This window comes from Homo sapiens, chromosome 16 (assembly GCF_000001405.40).
Source record: "Homo sapiens chromosome 16, GRCh38.p14 Primary Assembly".
NCBI classification, from domain to species: Eukaryota; Metazoa; Chordata; class Mammalia; order Primates; family Hominidae; genus Homo; species Homo sapiens.
In genome coordinates this window covers 84097061-84110139 of record NC_000016.10, presented here as the reverse complement: position 1 = coordinate 84110139, position 13079 = coordinate 84097061, and the positions used below count along the sequence as shown (strand labels likewise).

General features: G+C 44.2%; 1 protein-coding gene across 3 annotated transcripts in view; it reads left to right on the top strand.

Annotated features, from left to right (window-relative positions):
• The window catches only part of MBTPS1 (membrane bound transcription factor peptidase, site 1), a 63180-nt gene that overhangs the window by 6803 nt on the left and 43298 nt on the right, over window positions 1-13079 (top strand). For 2 of the 3 annotated variants that reach the window (NM_003791.4, XM_047434831.1), the window contains exons 2-3: window positions 8033-8519; window positions 10830-11087. In NM_003791.4, the coding sequence (NP_003782.1) occupies window positions 8357-8519; window positions 10830-11087 (421 nt within the window). In that variant the 5' untranslated portion in view covers window positions 8033-8356. Of the gene's footprint in view, window positions 1-561; window positions 747-8032; window positions 8520-10829; window positions 11088-13079 lie in introns of those variants that run through there. The other variant, XM_047434830.1, reaches the window with a different exon arrangement.

Sequence of the window (13079 nt, the reverse complement as noted above, 5' to 3'; positions counted from 1 at the left end):
TGAATCTGAATAAGAGGCTTAGAATGTGCCTGTCACCACATTTAAAATAGCCCAGCCTCATGCGTCCTTGGCAGGTGAGGGTAAATAAAGAACTTATTTTTTCTGCCTGTTTTGGAAACAGGCTGAACCTAACAGGAAGGTTGCACGAACAGTATGAAACCATTTTTTCTCTAAAGCATTTGAGAGTAAATTGCAGACCTGATACTCCATTATCCCCCGGTGTTTTAGTGGGTGTATTTTCCAAGCAAGGACCTTCTTACATAATCACAGCACAGTTGTCAAAATCAGGAAATTAGTCTTGATACATCACTACCATCTGATCCACGGGCAGGCTTACTTGGGTTTTGCCAGTTGTCCCTGAGTGCCTGTTACAGCAGATGGATCCAGTTTGGATTCATGAGTTGCACTGACTCTGGAGTCTCCTTCAATCTGGGGCAGTAGCTCAGTCATTCTTGCCTTTCATTACCTTGGTGCTTAGGAAAATTCTAGGCCAGTTGATTCTGTAGAATGTCCCTCAATTTGGGTTGGTCTGATGTTTCTCATGATTTGATTTCAGGTTGTGCATCTTTGTCAGGAACCTCCCAGAAGTGATGCCGGCTCTTCTCAGTGCATCTGCTCTCGTAGACCTGGCTCCGTGTGTCCCATTACTGCTTCCCTTGGACAACTTGGTGGAGCTTCTCCACTGTAAAATGACTTTTCCCTTTGAAAAGAGATATTTTGTTGGCAGTTGGGCATTTTGACATGATGTAAATATCTCATTCTTTTTCAAACTTCATGTCATTGTGGACTCCTGTTTTCCTGTTTTATTCCACGGGTTGGGATCTGTTATTATTTATCGTGATGCTCAGATTGTCCCGGATTTTGTTAGTGGGGGCCCCACCAAACTGGCTTCCATGTTCCTTGGACACTTCCCCATCATTCTGTGAGCCTTTCCTCATTGAGTGACACTGTTCCAAACCCATCTTGTTCTTACCGTACCCAGACTGGAACTAGTTCTTTGTCCAAAGAGCCTAGGTTCTTTTAGTGGAGAGTGATATTTAGAACCAATTGTGGGCAGTAGGTGGGCTCCTTGCTGTTGGGATTTCACTGCTGCCACACCCTTTTGGAGATAGCTAGGAAATGTGTGTAGCACGTACACGTGCACTTAGATTTCTTTCTTTCTACATCTGTTAGTCTATGTATTGAAAACCTTAAATTCAGACCAGCATTTATCATTTTGTTCTGATACTGAATGGTTCATTTATTTTTTCTCTTTCATATTTCTAACTTTCTTCTCTGACAGTAAGAAAGCCGCATCCCATTATATGTAAAATATTTATTTGATCAAACAGTTTTACCTTCACTGCTATCACCCCACTGCCTGCCTGGTGCCTTCTTCACTTGCCAGGCTCTGACCCCCTCACCTGGTGCCTCTCCCTTCACATACCTTCCTCACTCCGCTCAGACTCTTAAGACCCTGTAGTGGGCTTCTGCCATTCTCCCATGAACGCCTGCCTTCTTGTCTTCAGCAGAATTCTTCAGGAAGGGAAGAAGAAAAGGCAGAGTTAGCACTCTTTAGAAAGTGCTTTTCTTGGGCTGGGCGCAGTGGCTCACACCTGTAATCCCAGCACTTTGGGAGGCTGAGGCAGGTGCTGGATCACCTGAGGTCAGGAGTTCGAGACCAGCCTGGCCAGCATGGCAAAATCCTGTCTCTACTAAAAATACAAAAATTAGCTGGGTGTGGTGGCGTGTGCCTGTAATTCCAGCTACTCAGGAGGCTGAGGCAGGAGAATCGCTTCAGCTGGGAGTTGGAGGTTGCAGTGAGCAGAGGTCGTGCCATTGCACTCCAGCCTGGGCAGCAAAGTGAGACTCCATCTAAAAAGAAGAAAACAGTGCTTTTCCTTAGGTTTGTGTGTCTGTATCTGTGTGTGCATGCTCTGTCTGCCTGTCCTGCTGCTGCTTGTCTGCTTACCTCTCAGTGGTGAGCCCATCTTGGGAAGTGTGCCCATCGGGTTTGCATTGTATAGTGAGAACCAGGAGGGACCATTCGTCACAGCTGAATAGATGTATTAGACCCTGGAAAGTGCAGTCTGTGCTTGCAAAGCCTCACTGACTTGTCTAGTGAGTCTGTGGGGACAAGATCTCTTTAGGCCCAGGCCAGACACAGTGGCTCATGCCTATAATCCCAACACTCTGAGAGGCTGAGGCAGGAGGATATCTTGAGCCTGGGAGTTTGAGACCAGCCTGGGCAACAAGGTGAGACCCCCATCTCTACAAAAAAAAAAAAAAAAATTAGCTGGACATAGTGCCGTATTGTAGTCCGTGCAACTTGGTAGGCTGAGGTAGGAGGATCACTTGAGCCTCAGAGGTTGAGGCTGCAGTGAACCATGATTGTGCCACTGTCCTCCACCCTGGGTGACCAAGCGGGACCCTGTCTCAAAAAAAAAAAAAATAGGCCCAGGAGTTCGGGGGTTGGTAATAAGCTCAGCCTTGGGGACCCCAGTCCCTCTGCCATCATTTACTGGTCTCTTGCCCCCGTTATGGCATTTTTGTTTTCCTTAAAGGAAATTTATATTTTGAAACCACCTTATTCTAGGATTGGGAAACTATAGAAACCTCAGGATCTGTTGCCATATTTTTTGAGCCATAAATCCTTTGAAATAGTCTTGATAGAGCCTGGATTTTAGCTCACCTTTTAGGAACGCAAGCAAGTCCACGAGATCCAAACACAGCAAGGGGGTGTGTCCTTGTCCCTGTCATTTCCAGCCTTATCATTCATCCCCATGGGATTTTTACACTTGAAGGCACCTTCCTTCCAGCCACTGGTGGCTTGGTGACTAGAGCAGGTGGGCTGGAGTTGACAGGCTTGGTAAGGTACAGTCTGGCGGCCAGGCTCACCCGCTCACTAGTGTGGCCCTTTTCTGGAAGGGGCCAGTTACTAAGCTAGTGGTCTCTGTCTCTTCAGCTTGCCCACCTTCCTTTTGCAAATTATTTCCCACTGATTTTGGTTTCCTTCTGACTTTCCTGTGCCCTCTGTCTTTTGCCATCTCTGAAAGAAAAGGTACTGGATTGCCCGGGATTCTGCCCTAAGCCGTGCCCTTGACCCTGAGGCTCATCCGAAATTGAACATGCTCAGAGCTCAGCTCCTGCTGGTGTCTCCCAAGTCAGCTTTCCTGCTGTCTTCCCCATCTCAATTAGGGGCAAGCACCACTGGTCCAGTCGGGCAACCAGCCTTGGTGTTGCCTTGAATCCTCACTTGTGTGCCCCCACATCTGGTGGACAGCCCATCTGTCACTTCTGCCTTCGTATCTGTAATGTCATCGCCTCTTATCACCTCCCCTGCCCGCCCTGGTCCAAGCCAGCATCTTCTCTCCCTTGGCTCTTGTACGGAAGTCCTCCAGATGCTCCCTGCCTCAGCCTGTGCCCCCTTCCACACCGAAGCCAGAGCGATCTGGCTAAAACACAAGCCACACGTGCTCAGGACTGCCTCATGCTTTCTCTTCCCAGTCAGAATCAAAGCTGAAGTCCTTTCTGTGACCTGCAGGCCTTCCCTGGGCTGTCTCCCGGTTTCCTCAGATTTCATCTTTGGCTTTCCCTTGCTTCCCGCTGGCCTCTTTGCCTTTCTTTCCTCACACACACACCAGGAATGGTCCTTGCCCCAGGGCCTTTTCACTTGCTTTCCCACTGCCTGGATCCTGTTTCCCCAGACCCTTGGCCAGCTTCCTGCATCCTTCAGGCCTTCACTGAAAAGACCCCTTCTCAGCAGCTGCTGTAGGTAGTGCTGTAGCAGAAACCCAGCCCTCTCCTGACTTGTCATATTCCTTTTCTTTGTGTTTTCTTATTTATTTATTATTATTATTATTTTGAGATGGAGTTTTGCTCTTGTTGCCCAGGCTGGAGTGTAGTGGCACGATCTCAACTCACTGCAACCTCTGCCTCCTGGGTTCAAGTGATTCTTCTGCCTGAGCCTACTGAGTAGCTGGAGCTACAGGCGCCTGTCGCCACGCACGACTAATTTTTTTGTTTTTAGTAGAGGTGGGGTTTCACCATTTTGGCCAGGATGGTCTCGAATTCCTGGCCTCAGGTGATCCACCCGCCTTGGCCTCCCAAAGTGCTGAGATTACAGGTGTGACCCATCGTGCCTAGCTGTTTTCTCTCCTTCCCAAATGTAGTTTTTATCACCAGCTAAATACTGTATGTTTTACTTGTCTTAGTTACGGTCTGTCTCCCTGCACTGGAAGGTAAGCTCCGTGAGGTCAGAGATTTCTATGGTATTTTGTTCATTACTCTATCCCTACTCCTAGAACAGTGCCTGGCTTTTAGTAGTTTCTCACTAGATGAGTTGGATGGGTGAACACAGGAGCTCAGCAGTCTCGTCGTTGGGCTGTGTTTTATCTCTGTGCTCTTCACTGCCATTGGATGGAAGAGGTCCGTATTTCCGGCTGTTGGCTGGGGTGTACCTGCTTGAGGTCCTCTCTTCCCCCCTCGTCTTTCAGCCTCGCTAGACGGACACCTCCTTGCCTCCCTCCTCAGGCTGGGCAGTGCTGATCCTTGTGCACATCTGTGTCTTCCTGTGGTTCCAGTGTTGCCACGCTTGGGATGCTCTGCTCCTCCCTCCCTCACGCCCATCTTTCAGTGCTACTGAGCTCAGATTCTTCCAGAGCTGCTGCAGTGCCCCCTCCCCAGCAGAAGCCGCCTCTTCACAGCCCGGAGAGAACTGTGTGTCAGTTCAGCATCTGTGGCCTGGATGCCTGCCTCTCCTTTCACATTTTCATTTCCTGCATTTTGTTTAGTTGTCCTTAAATTTAACTACATCACACTTGGAAGGTTGTGCCCTGACTAGCTAATAGTCCGTGTTTGTTCTGTAGTACCTGATAGTATCTTAACTTGGTAAGTATTCTAAAATTGCCTGATCTAATGAATGAGTTAAGGTAAAATGTCTTATGATAATAATTGCCTTCTCTGTTTTCCACATACCCCACATTTATTATTATTTTTAATTTGGGGAAGAACTGATTACCTTAGAGAGTTTTTTTCATTTATTTATTTTTTTTTTTTGAGACAGAGTCTCGCTGTCACCCAGGCGGGACTGCTGCAGTGTCCCAATCTCAGCTCACTGCAACCTCTGCCTCCTGGGTTCAAACGATTATCCTGCCTCACCCTCCGGAGTAGTTGGGATTACAGGCATGCACCACAATGCCCAACTAATTTTTGTATTTTTTTTTTTGGGTCGGTTGGTTGGTTTTTAGTAGATATGGGGTTTCACCATGTTGGCCAGGCTGGTCTCTAACTCCTGGCCTCAAGTGATCCGCCGGCCTCAGCCTCCTAAAGTGGAATCACACCCAGGATTACAGGTGTGAGCCACCGCGCCTGGCCTTTTTTTCATTTGAAAACCGCCAAATCCTTTCTTTTCATTTCTTTTAAAGGCAAGTACCTGCCTAAGTTGTAAGAGAACATCAGCCATCTCTTCTGCATGGGCTGTGTTAAAATTTCTTACCTAAGAGTCTTTACCTTTGAGTGAATTATTTTAGAACAGGTTGAATTAAAGTTGATTTAACCCAGTTAGGTCTAAGATTTTCTCAGTACTATTACTTAATTATATTTGTGTTATATGGAGCCCACATGTGTCATAGATTCTTTAGCTTGAGGCAGAAAAGTTTTAAGAGGCTTTTTTGTTTGTTTGTTTGTTTTTTAAGTGGAGAGAGAGTCTCACTGTGTCACCCAGGCTGGAATGTAGTGGTGCACTCTTGGCCCACTGCAACCCTCCAGGCTAAAGCAATCTTCCTGAGTAGCTGGGACTATAGGCGCGCCACCATGCCTAGCTAATTTTTAATGTTTTTTTTGTAGAGATGAGGTTTCTCCACGTTGCCCAGGCTGGTCTCAAACCTCTGGGCTCAAATGATTGTTCCTTCCTTTTTAACAACAACAACAAAAAGCCTGCCTTGAGTGAGAAACGCATTTAATAAATATCTTTTAAATATATATTCATTTACTGTGATATGAGAACTGTTATTACTGGCTTTTATCTTCTTCGGCCAGTAGTCTTTAATTAAGCTAGATACATGCTTCATGTCATTATTTTCTTTGGTACTCCATTGCTGGATGTATCAAGCATAAAGAAACTAAGAAGTAGGGGCTTACTCCTGAGCAAACTTCTGTCAAACCTGTTAGGGTGGCTTTAGGTGCCCTCTGCTTTTCTGATCTTTCTGTTTGGCTCTTTGTTTTTGCTCTTGCAGTTGGCATTGTTATTGTTGTTCTTGTCGAGGTGGATGTAACTGCTTTAAACTTTGACTCATTTCTGATGAGTTCCACGCCCCTTAGTTGCCAGTGCCAGTGCCAGAGATGGGCTTGTTTTTCAGGATCAGTTGTTAGTACAGCAGTGAAAGTCCCTCTTTAGTAAAAGTAAAAACGTTTTTTGGATATTTTAACCCCTCACGGTACTTTATCAATGTTTTTCTACTCGTAGAAGCACATATTGATATTTCCAGAAACCAAAAACTCAGAAGCACCAGTTTCTGCCAGAAGAATGAGTTTTACAGCTTGAAGTACCTTTTGTAATAGATGACTTAACTCCTTGTCCTTAATGTTTTCTTTTTAAAAACAAGTAGTGGGCGGACATGGCGGCTCTTGTCTGTAATCTCAACACTTTGGGAGGCCAAGGTGGCTGGATCACCTGAGTTTGAGACCAGCCTGGACAAAATGCCGAGACTGCTTCTCTATATTAAAATCCAAAAATTAGCTGGGTGTGGTGATGCATGCCTATAGTCCCAGCTACTCGGGAGGCTGAGGCTGGAGGATTGCTTGAGCCCAGGAAGTTGAGGCTGCAGTGAACTGTGCAGAGATTGCGCCACCCACTCCAGCCTGGGTGTCAGAGTGAGACCCTTCCTCAAAAAAAAAAAAAAAATAATAATAATAATAAAATCCTAAGTAGCACTGGAAGGCCTCTCTTGCTTCATTTACCCATCCCCTACCCTGCTGGATTATTTACGCCCCGGGTATGGTCTGTGCAACTGTTTTTCTGGTTATGCTACAGCCAGCATTGTTCTTTACTATCGCTCTGTTTTCATTGTGAAGAATGGCAGTTTTTCTTACAATTCAGATGTTTTGGAAGATATCTGTGCGCATGCTTAATTTAATATTCAGGTGACATTTTTCTTTAGCAGTAGTTTCCCTCACAAACTGTCTTCTCATGTCACTCCAGTAAAGAGATAATCTGGTTTTATAACACATTTAGCAGGTTACATTTCTTTAAGTGTGAGGTTTCAGGTAAAATAAATTTCAGGACAGTAAACCCTTTTATGCTCTTTTCATAGAATTGGTAGAAAATATTTCAAACTATGTAATATTAAAGCATAGTGTTTCTTAAAGAAGGTGTTAAATATCACTGATAGGGAAATTACTTTGCTGTTAGGTATTAATGTTACAGCAGAAAGTAAGGCTTTATACCAAGCTTTTGCCTGAAAAATTGATGAAATTTGTGGGAAGTAAAAGTGCCAACTGGGGAAATGCTCTGGGGATTGAGTTGCAAATGATAGGAAATACAGAATCTGAAACAGAACAAAGGATCATCCTGATGCCTTCTTCTCTTTGGCTGCTAGAATGCTCAGGTCCAGTGTGCTTAATATTTTTGGTGTTATTTTGTTGTCCTTACTTTTTTCCATTTTTCTCATTGATTTTATTGTTTTATTTTTGAAGATGCCTAAAAAAAATTTTCCCGTGAAAGCAGTGAGTAATAAGTAAATAAAAATGAAATAATATGTTTCATGGTTGTATGGCACATTAATTTGTCTTAAAACCAGGATATCTCTTTTACCCTCTTATTTATTTTATTATTTTATTATTTTAGACATAGGGTCTCACTTTGTTGCTCAGGCTGGACTCAGACTCCTGGGCTCAAGTGATCTTCCCACCTCAGCCTCCCAAGCAGCTGATCTACAGGCACCTGCCACCTTGCCTGGCTGACCCACTTGCTTAAATTATAAATACAACTAAATCATACCTGGCTATGTCAGTTTGCTACTAATGTCTGTGTGCACTGTTTTTTGTTTCATAGATTGGCTCACAGTGGTTGATTGATCAACCCCATTGGACGTTGGTTCTGTGGTACAAATGGAGTACAGGACTCAGTCGTCACGGCCTGAGTGAGAGAAGCCTTATTTCCAAGATGGAGAAGAAGCGGAGAAAGAAATGAAAGCCTCTCTTCAGGCTGAACCACAAAAGGCCATGGGATTTAACTTTTATTTATGTTGGGCAAGACTGTAAGATGGCTGATTAGTAATGTTGCAGCTTTTAGCTGAAACAAAAATTCACTTTTAATCAAGAAGAAAAAAGTGTGATTTGAATATATGCAATTTTATGATCATATTCGCTTGTGACCATGAAGCTTGTCAACATCTGGCTGCTTCTGCTCGTGGTTTTGCTCTGTGGGAAGAAACATCTGGGCGACAGACTGGAAAAGAAATCTTTTGAAAAGGCCCCATGCCCTGGCTGTTCCCACCTGACTTTGAAGGTGGAATTCTCATCAACAGTTGTGGAATATGGTAATGATGTTGTCTTAAGTATTAGGAACTCCCATCCTATTTTTTTAAAGCTTACTTAATATAAAATTAGCTATTGCTGAATAACATGTTCCTCTTTTCTACAGTAAATTTCTTTCTTTTTTTTTTTTTTGAGACAGAGTCTCACTCTGTCACCCAGGCTGGAGTGCAGTGGCATGATCTCGGCTCACTGTAACCTCCACCTCCTGGATTCAAGCAATTCTCATGCCTCAGCCTCCCAAGTAGCTGGGATTATAGGTGACTGCCACCGTCCCTGGCTAATTTTTTGTTTTGATTTGTTCTGTTTTGTTTTGTTTTGTTTTTGAGATGGAGTCTCACTCTGTTGCTGAGGCTGGAGTGCAATGGCACGATCTCGGTTCACTGCAACTTCCACCTCCCAGGTTCAAGCAGTTCTCCTGCCTCAGCCTCCTGAGCAGCTGGGACTACAGGCACCCGCCACAACTCCCAGTTAATTTTTTCTATTTTTAGTAGAGATGGGGTTTCACCACATTGGCCAGGCTGGTCTCGAGCTCCTGACCTCGTGATCCGCCTGCCTTGGCCTCCCAGAGTGTTGGGACTACAGGCATGAACTATCGTGCCAGGCCTTTTTTTTTTTTTTTTTTTGTATTTTTAGTAGAGACGGGGTTTCAGCATGTTAGCCAGGCTGGTCTTGAACTCCTGACCTCAAGTGATCACCCTCCTTGGCCTCCCAAAGTGCTGGGATTACAGGCATGAGCCACCGTGCCTGGCCTTCTGTAGTAAATTTCCAATGGGTTGAGTGCACAGCACATGAATGTTAACTTTGCTTAAGTTTGTTTTCCCAGTAGAGTAAGCTTATATGATAAAAGGAAATTGACATGAATTATTTACCTACACCTTCTTTTCTTTTTCTTTTGGAGACAGAGTTTTGCTCTTGTCGCCCAGGCTGGAGTGCAGTGGTGCCATCTCAGCTCATTGCAGCCTTGGCCTCCCAGGCACAAGTGGTCTCCCACTTCAGCCTCCTGAGTAGCTGGGACTACAGGCACCTGCCACCGTGCCCAGCTAATTTTTTTATTTTTGTTTTTTCTTTTTTCTTTTTTGAGATGGAGATTCACTCTTGTTGCCCAGGCTGGAGTGCAATGGCACCATCTCAGCTCACCGCAACCTCCACCTCCCAGGTTCAAGCGATTCTCCTGCCTCAGCCTCCCGAGTAGCTGGGATTACAGGCATGTGCCACCATGCCCGGCTAATTTTGTCTTTTTAGTAGAGACTGCGTTTCTCCATGTTGGTCAGGCTGGTCTTGCACTCTTGACCTCAGGTGATCCTCCTGCATTGGCCTCCCAAAGTGTTGGGATTACAGGCATGAGCCACTGTGCCCGGCCTGCCCAGCTAATTTTTTTATTTTTTGTTTCACCATGTTGCCCAGGCTGGTCTTAAACTCCTGAGCTCAAGCAATCCATCCACTTCGACCTCCCAGAATGCTGGGATTATAGGCATGAGCCACTGTGCCCAGCCTACACCTTGATTCTTTGGAACAGGTGCCATTGTAATTGGTGAAGGTGGGGAGCTGGGAGGTGCAGAATGTTTATGTTCTAAAGTTTGAGTGACCAGATGTGAAGAACTGAGCAAATAGTCTCACATAATCCACTCTGGAATTTTGTTACTGTTTTCGTTTTAAGAAACACTAACTGAGCATTCAGTTCTCTGAATTTCTTTTTCCTACTTGATAAAAATTATATACATTTCTTTGTTGTGTATTCAAACTTCTGTAGGTATTTGCTTTTTAAAAAAATATCACGGGTATCTGGTTTCGAATGATGTATTCTTTGTGGTTAGGTGATTCATAGAGATCTTTTTTTTTTTTTTTTTGAGACGGAGGCTTGCTCTGTCACCAGGCAGGAGTGCAGTGGTGCAATCTCTGCTTACTGCAATCTCCGCCTCCCAGGTTCAAGTGATTCTCCTGCCTTAGCCTCCCAGGATTATAGGCGCCCACCACCACACCCAGCTAATTTTTTGTATTTTTAGTAGAGATGGGGTTTCACTATGTTGGCCAGGCTGGTCTCAAACTCCTCACCTCGTAATCTGCCCACGTCAGCCTCCCAAAGTGCTGGGATTACAGGCGTGAGCCACCGCGCCCAGCCCCATATAGATCATTTTTCCTCAAAGCTCTGCAGACAGCTGTCTAGGTACTTAAACTAGTCTTTGTGTTTTCTCTCGTCTGCTGTGGGCTTTAAGATAATTTTTCTTTTGCCAGATTTTAGATTAGATACAATATAGTATATGTTATAATGTATGTGCGTAAATCTTATTTTTGTTTGTGGTGATTGGTTTCAGAATATATTGTGGCTTTCAATGGATACTTTACAGCCAAAGCTAGAAATTCATTTATTTCAAGTGCCCTGAAGAGCAGTGAAGTAGACAATTGGAGAATTATACCTCGAAACAATCCATCCAGTGACTACCCTAGTGATTTTGAGGTGATTCAGATAAAAGAAAAACAGAAAGCGGGGCTGCTAACACTTGAAGATCATCCAAACATCAAACGGGTCACGCCCCAACGAAAAGTCTTTCGTTCCCTCAAGTATGCTGAATGTGAGTATTGTGACTGTAGGCAAATTTCTCTCTGCTGTTTACTTTGAAAATCTCAAACTGCAGAGTAGTTGAAAAATAGTACAGTGAGTATCCGCATCCTTCCATCTAGTTTGCTAATTGTGAACATTTTCCTGGTAGGAATTTTTTAGTTTAGTTTTGTTTAGTGCGCAGGGTCGGTGTTGGGGGGGCAGAATTATTTTTTAAAAAGAGACTTCGTACTGTTCTGGTAGAAGAAAATCTGAGGGTTTGCAGTAGTAGATGGTAGTGATCTTTGTTTCTGTTGGAAGCGATTTTCGCCAGCTTCATCTCAAAGCCTTCAGACTTCAAGGCTGCGGCCGCCTTCTCGTGCTGAAAGACGCGTCCTTGTGTCTGCTTCTTCCTTGCATTTCGCTTCTCTCAGTGTGTGTTTTATTTTTTCTTTTCCTTTTTATTTATTTATTTTTTTGAGACGGAGTTTCGCTCTTGTTGCCCAGGCTGGAGTGCAGTGGCGCGATCTTGGCTCACCTCAACCTCCACCCAGGTTCAAGTGATTCTCCTGCCTTAGCCTCCCAAGTAGCTGGGATTACAGGCATGCGCCACCATGCCTGGCTAATTTTGTATTTTTAGTAGAGACAGGGTTTCTCCATATTGGTCAGGCTGGTCTTGAACTCCTGACCTCAGGTGATCTGCCTGCCTCAGCCTCCCAAAGTGCTGGGATTACAGGCGTGAGTCACTGCACCCAGCCCGATTTTTAAAGGCACTCTTGCAAAACATGTTTTCCTGGGGTTTCGTTTTGTTTTTGTCAAAGCCTCCTGACCAGGAATGGTCATGCATCAGCTGGGTTCGTTGAAGTCATCAGCTGTGCAGGTGTGAGCATGGAAGCAACTTGGCTTTTCCTTTTCTTCTCCAGGGCTTAGTCTTTCCTACTTCATTACAATTGGGCTTGTCAAAATAGAGTTTAGTCTCAAATAGTAAATTGCATATTTATTAAATGATATTTTCCAAAGATATGTGTTACCAAAGGAAAAGGGTTTTTTTTCCCTGTTTATCTTAAATCAGGTTAACAAATTTCTAGTTCTGTTATTATTTACGATCATTTCTTTCATCAGAAGGAAGAAGAAATTAAAATTTTACTCTTCTTTGTCTATCATATTTTAGGCCTAAGAGCCTCTGAGGTTTTGCTGCATTAAACACACACACAAACACACACACACACACACACACACACACACACACGAAGAGAAGTTTAATTTTCATAGTAAAACCAGGTGTAAACTTAAGGCGTCTGACTTTTTCAGAGCCTTTTCTGCTACTCCAGATGTTATGTATTATTCTCCTTAAAAAGCAGTAACACTTCAAAATAATCCAGGAAGATAAAAGCCAATCAAACCTGATACAGTTAGCCAAATGTATACATTGCGGTATTTTAGTTGACTTTATTTTTTACTTCAGTTATCTTAAAGAGCTCTAGAATGCTTTAGGAGACACGGAGTTGCCTAATTTTAGCACAAGAATCCTAGACTCTCTGGAGATGGGATTCCCATGGACACCATCTCCACTGCGTGTGTTCCGGGTGCCTGACACCCCTGTGAGGGGAGACTTGCCCACTGCGTTCCCATGCCCCTTGAAGTTAGCTGTGACCTTCAGCAGTAAGCGTCTTTTCCATCTTGAAGCCTCAGTTTTTCTCATTCATAAAATGGAGATGATACTCCCTACCTCGTGGGGCTGTCATGAAGATAACATGAAATAATGCATATGAAGAAAGCTTAGTAGAGTGTTCAAGATGTTGTAAGTAACCAAATGTTAACAGTTTCTCTGGCTGTTACTCGTAGAAGGTTTTGCTTTATTTTGGGCTGACACCATTCTCACTCTGCATCCCACCCATTTGGTTCTATCCCATGGGCCATAAGACAAAGCCTATCTGTTTTCTGCGTGACAGTAGTTAAAGATGTGGTGAAGATAGCTGTCTTTTTGATATTTGAAGATACCCATGGTGTGTCCCTTTTGGCAATT